We start from the raw sequence: 6000 nt of genomic DNA, 5'->3' as shown, positions 1-6000 counted from the left end.
TGGACCAGGTCTCCTGGAAGAAAGGGCTGATTCCACTCTGGGGCAGTAAATGCATAAGCTAAGCCAGGAGCATCTTGTCGACCAGGAGGCAAGGACACTCTCTACCTCTGGGGTGCTGGCCTGAGGGTGCAGGAGCTGACCTGGAGAGGCTCCCCTGGCCTGAGTGAGGGCATGGACCATCCAGAAGAATGACGGTGGCAGGTGACTGAAACACATCAATTTTAGAAAAGAATGTGAGTTTGTAATTTTAAAAAGGGCTTTCAAAATGCTCGAACACCACCTTTTTATGATGCAGCTTGAAGGAATGAAAAGCATTGATCCCGCCTTTCCTATCCAAACCATATACCAGAAAAACCAAATATTGATGAGGAAACGTTCTTCCTGTTATTATAAATAGAAGAATCTGGCTTACAAATACTGAAGGAATGGTACAAATAGAACGTCACCATTTTGCAATTTCTTGTGAAAGGAAGGAAGGAACTTGGCAATGTTCATGAATGGCTGCTCACCCCATGAGCAGCAACATGGACGGTGAACAGATGATGAAGGATCCGACTGCACTGACAATCACAGCAGCCCAGAGAGACACAGCCTGACCCTCCTGCCTCTGGGTGGAGCAACAGGAATGCACCCCTGATCCATCTGCAGGCTTTCCCAGAGGACCCAACCTGGCGCTGATGAGGACCAGTTCCCAGGAATACAGGGGTGTTGGGGCGGTTATCTCACAGCCAGGTGCCCTCTAACGTAAGTGTGAAATGTCCTCACCAAATAAATGTCATACTGAAAACAAAATAACACAAAAACCCCAACAGCTAACAAATGAGCAAACAAACAGCAATGAAGAAAGGAAGGGGCAAGGCGAGGTGGCCCATGCCTGTAATTCCAGCAGTTTGGGAGGCTGAGGTGAGCGGATCCCTTGAGCCCAGGAGTTCAAGACCAGCCTGGGCAACATGGTTAACCCCTGTCTCTACAAAAACTACTAAAATTAGCCATGCATGTTGGTGTGCGCCTGTAGTCCCAGCTATTGGGGAGGTTATGGTGGAAGGATCACTTGAGCCTGGGAAGTGGAGGTTGCAGCAAGCTGAGATCACATCACCACACACCAGCCTGGGAGCCCAAGGAACACAGGAAGACTCTGTCAAAAAAAAAGAAAAAAGAAAGAAAGAAAACAAAGGAAGGAAGGAACCCCGTACGTAAAAAACTCTTTAGAAATATATTATCCAACAAACATAAATGTATAGGTCTGAAGGCAACCCAGTAGTCCCACAGACAGTTTTTTGTTTGTTTGTTTTTGAGACGGAGTCTCGCTCTGTCGCCCAGGCTGGAGTGCTATGGCATGATCTCAGCTCACTGCAAGCTCTGCCTCCCGGGTTCACACCATTCTCCTACCTCGACCTCCCGAGTAACTGGGACTACAGGTGCCTGCCACCAAGCCTGGCTAATTTTTTGTATTTTTTTTAGTAGAGATGGGGTTTCACCGTGTTAGCCAGGATAGTCTCGATCTCCTGACCTCGTGATCCGCACGTCTCAGCCTCCCAAAGTGCTGGGATTACAGGCCTGAGCCACCGCGCCCGGCCCATAGACAGATATATATAAATACACACATAGAAATTGACCCTTCTGGTCTTAAAGCTTGAAACTTACATTTGTTTTATCTGAGTTCCTTCCTCAGTAAAGGACTCCAGGCCTCTCAAAAAGTATTAAGAACTGAAACTCGCCAGATCACCATGTCCATAGGAGGAGATGCTGCCAGGCCCCTCATTTATCATGATTGCTTCCGGGCTCCTTCCGAGTTCCTGTTTTCCCACACATTGTTACATTTCTTCCCTACAATATAAAACCCTAATTTTAGTCTGTCGGGAAGATGGACTTGAGACTGAGCGCCCATCTCCTTGCCTATAGCACCTGCTTCAAGCCTTCTTCCCTGGCAATACCCATGGTCTCAGCGATTGGCTTCCTGTGCCCTGAGCATCAGGTCCTAGAGGGATCCCTGGTGTTTTGGTAACCGGTCTTGTCTGGAAATGAGTTTGAGCAAATCGGTTGCCAGGAGGCATTTACGAGATCTCCAAGAAGCCGTAAAAGCTGAAAACTGGTCATCATATGATAGCAGGGGATTGACGGCAATTTTGTGAGGTTTGAGGATGGAAAAGTTGTTTACGTAAAGTATGTAAGAAGTCTTTTCTTGAGGGGAGATATACTTAATTATTTACAAGTGAAGCCATACAAAGTCTGGGATTTGCTTGAAGATTCTTTAAGGAAAAAAAGCAGGCTATAGGGGGATGGTTTTAAACTAGATTGGAGCTGGAGGAAGACACATGGAGAATTACTTTCTATTCTCTTTGCTCTCCCAAGGCTCACCCATTCCCAGAACCAGCAGGCAGCAGCACAGCCTAGGGCTTCTCTGGGAGCCCCTAGGAATCCTGCATGGGATCAGGTTTCCCTCTGGCGGCGGCTGGAGAGACTGCGGCCGAGGCTCCTCTGGAATAATTCGGATCCGTATTCTCTGGAAGAAATGCGCCAAACGCCCGGCAGAAGGCGCGGGCTGCAAACTCGGGAGAGGAGATTCCTTGGGTGGCTCTTTCCAAACTCATGGGAACTTTCCAAAAGTCGTGGAAATGTTATGTAGTCATCGCTCCATAGTGATTCTATATTAATGGCTGACAGAAGGTGATGCTTGTTTTAAAAAAATAGAAATGGATATTGAAATGTTCAAATGTTACAGGTTGGCCAGGCACCAGGTGTGCACAGAGCTTCCTGTCACCTGGGGCTCGTCCAGTTCCCCTGAGGTGGGTGAGTGACCCTCGGACTGAGCCACGGCTCAGAGCCTGCAGCGCCCACCCGGGTGGAGCCGGGACCCTGGGTGACCTGCGCTCTAGCCTGGCGGGAACAACTTCCTGCCCAGATCCCCCTCACCCACCACCCAGCCCCTCTGCACCGCACCTCTCTGCACCTCTGCCCTAGTGTGTGTGCTGCTCTGAGCTTCTGTCGCCCTCTATCCAACTCAGCGCCTAAAGCTGCTGAGTATGAATGCGATATAGGAGGCGGGACTTGACTCCCAACCAGAGTGAAGACTGGCTGAAACATGGAACAGGCAAAAGCTCATTTGCATGAGACTCGCCCACCAGCACAATGACAGTTTACCGTTGCCATGGCAACACTTGGACGTTATCACCCTTTTTCTAGAAATTTCTAAATAACCCGCCCCTTACTTTGCATGTAATTAAAAGTGGGTATAAATATGGCGGCACCACTGCCCCACAGCTGCTGCTTTCCACACACTGCCTGGTGGGTAGACCTGCTGTGTAGGAGCAGTCACAGAGCTTAGCACTACGCCTCCAGCTCAGCCCTGAATTCTTTCCTGGGTAAAGCCAGACCTTTTCAGGCTAAGCCCCAGTTTCGGGGTTTGCCTGCCCTGCAGCCCATATACTTCAGGTCCTCACCTGCTTTGAGGACTCCCCACTGTGCACTCTGGCCCTGGCCCTGGCCTTGGATGGTACCCGTGCTGCAGGCAGAGCCACCCTCTCCATTTGCAAGAGCACAGGCGCACAGGGAGGGCCCAGGCTGCACAGCTCAGGAACTGCCCTCGTCCAGGTGGAGTCCTGGATGACTAATGCATGGGCTGCAGATAGAGGTCTCCCAGCCTCTCCTAGTGCAGGAGGGGCTGCCTGCCACACAGCAGGGTTGAGGGCTGTGACCTGCAGCAAGTATGGACAGGCTGTGTTGCTCCAGAACAATTAGTCTGTTTTTACCTTAGGGATGCTGAATTGTGCAAGTTTGCATTTCTGTAATTTGCATTTTCACATCCATTGGGGACATGGGGGAATATTGGGGATAGGAGGGGCAGTAGAAAATTTTTACTTTTGCAGTTTGTGATGAAAAATATAAAACAGCAACAATAAAAAACAGCTTTAGGCCAGGAGTGGTGGCTCACGCCTGCAATCCCAGTGCTTTGGGAGGCCAAGACGGGCAAATCACCTGAGGTCAGGACTTAGAGACCAGTCTGACCAACATGGTGAAACCCCATCTCTATCAGAAAACAAAAATAAAAAATTAGCTGGGTGTGGTGGTGCATGCCTGTAATTCCAGCTACTTGGGAGGCTGAGGCAGGAGAATTGCTTGAACCCGGGAGGCAGAGGTTGCAGTGAGCTGAGATTGCACCATTACACTCCAGCCTGGGCAACAAGAGCGAAACTCCATCTCAAAACAAAACAAACAAAAAAACCAACAAAAAAAACCAATAAAACAGCTTTAGCATCTAATGACAAAATCGCACTGTAGCAGTGCTAATGCACCACTGAAAGAGATTTTTATAGTCCAGAATTTTATATTCTTGAATTGGTGCTTTTCAAGTGGTGTCCTGGGACGTGTTCTGGGGGTCTTTGAGGATTTGTGTCCTTTAAAATGAACTTTGCTCAGTTAGAGAAACGCAGAAGTGATCATGGGTACCCCTCGCGGCTGCTAGAAAACAGACACCTTCCATCTCTAAATGCTGCTCTGAAAGAGAAGTTCCTAATAGTGGGGTCTTGTGACCACTTTGCACTCTTCAAATGTGTTGAGGATTGAAAAAAGCTTTGGTTTATGCAGGAGATACATATGTGCTTATTCAGTGTAGACAGATAGAGATATTATACTGTGTGGGAAATCAAAACTTAATTCGCAAATATGTTTGTGTTACTCTATGAAAATTAATAATAGATCCATTACATTGTTGATGAGAATGCAAAATGGTGTAGTCCCTTGGAAATAGCATGGCAGTATCTTGTACAGTCAAACAGGCATTGATCACCTTATACAGTCATTCATTCATTGATCACCTTTTACAGTCAGACATGGATTAGTCACCCACCCCGTGATTCTACTGCTAGGTGCTTACCCAGGAGAAATGAAGACTTACGTAGACACACACACACACACTTACAAGGGTATATGAATTACTTGTGTTCAGAATTATTCCTAATAGCCCCAAATTGGAAGCAATTCAAATCTCCAACCACTAGCAAGCAAACAAATTGTGGCATGTCCAAATCTACTCAGCTATAAAAATAAAGAAAATGTTAATATATAAAACATGGAACAATGTCAAAATCATTATATTTGTATTATACAGAAAACAGCCATAAGCAAAGAAGAATTCGAGCAAAAATCAAATTTTTCAAATCAAGCAAAAGATATAAACAAAGAATCCACAAGAAAAGAAATGTAAATGGCCCTCAATTGTATGGAAACATGCTCATCTTTATTAATAATATGAGAAATACAACTTAAAATGGCCACTTATTAAATTGAAAAAATCTCAGTACTTGGATTGCACACTGTGTAGAAACAGTCAGTCTTTTATCCGTCTGGTGAGAATGCAAATCCCTAATAGAGTGGAACTTGGCAACTCACCGGAAAATTCCATGCGCATTTATTCTTTGCCAATTGATCTTACTTCTAAGACTCTCTCCAAAGAAATACTGGAAAAATATAAAAGGAATCATGCAAAAGAGAAATATAAATGGATTTACTTAGTCCCTTGCATCATGAAAATAAGCAGTGGAAAGACCAGCCAAAATCTAGTAAATGGCGAATTGTGGCAGAGCGATGGATTGGAGTGGAGGACACAGGGAGGATGCAAACTTCTCTGAATGTAATTTTTATATAACGTTGGTTTTGGAACCATGTACATGTTTTTGTATAACTACAAAGCAATATTAAATATGGGTAGTAGAAAAGCAATCTGAAATTTGAAAACAAAAAGAAACAAATGAATCTAAAATTCTATCAGACTGGTGGTAGCATCACCACATGGAAAGTATCACGGGTTCAACTGACTTTAAAAACACAGTTTTTGTGAGCTATGCCTAATAGGACGTATTCTAAAAAGGAAAACACCTAAAAATTTTAAAATGAGTTATGATTGGCATGGTTATTTTGAAACAGTTACAGGATCAAGCAAGTGATTATATTAATGTTGTTAGGAACCAAGATTTTCAGCCTAAAGAGAAAAGAAGTGAAAAT

The 6000-nt window shown here is 45.3% G+C and overlaps 2 annotated features.

Moving 5' to 3' along the window:
• Nucleotides 2301-3136: an enhancer, noted in NCBI's record as "H3K4me1 hESC enhancer chr20:58090193-58091028 (GRCh37/hg19 assembly coordinates)". NCBI's record gives its function as "activates a minimal SCP1, AML or CMV promoter by ChIP-STARR-seq in naive H9 embryonic stem cells {active_cell/tissue: H9 hESC(naive)}" and the evidence as "EXISTENCE:reporter gene assay evidence [ECO:0000049][PMID:30033119]".
• Nucleotides 3137-3973: an enhancer, noted in NCBI's record as "H3K4me1 hESC enhancer chr20:58089356-58090192 (GRCh37/hg19 assembly coordinates)". NCBI's record gives its function as "activates a minimal SCP1, AML or CMV promoter by ChIP-STARR-seq in naive H9 embryonic stem cells {active_cell/tissue: H9 hESC(naive)}" and the evidence as "EXISTENCE:reporter gene assay evidence [ECO:0000049][PMID:30033119]".

Source organism: Homo sapiens, chromosome 20 (assembly GCF_000001405.40).
Source record: "Homo sapiens chromosome 20, GRCh38.p14 Primary Assembly".
Lineage (NCBI taxonomy): Eukaryota > Metazoa > Chordata > Mammalia > Primates > Hominidae > Homo > Homo sapiens.
The sequence above is the reverse complement of the archived record's forward strand: the minus strand, read 5'-3'. Positions and strand labels throughout refer to the sequence as shown.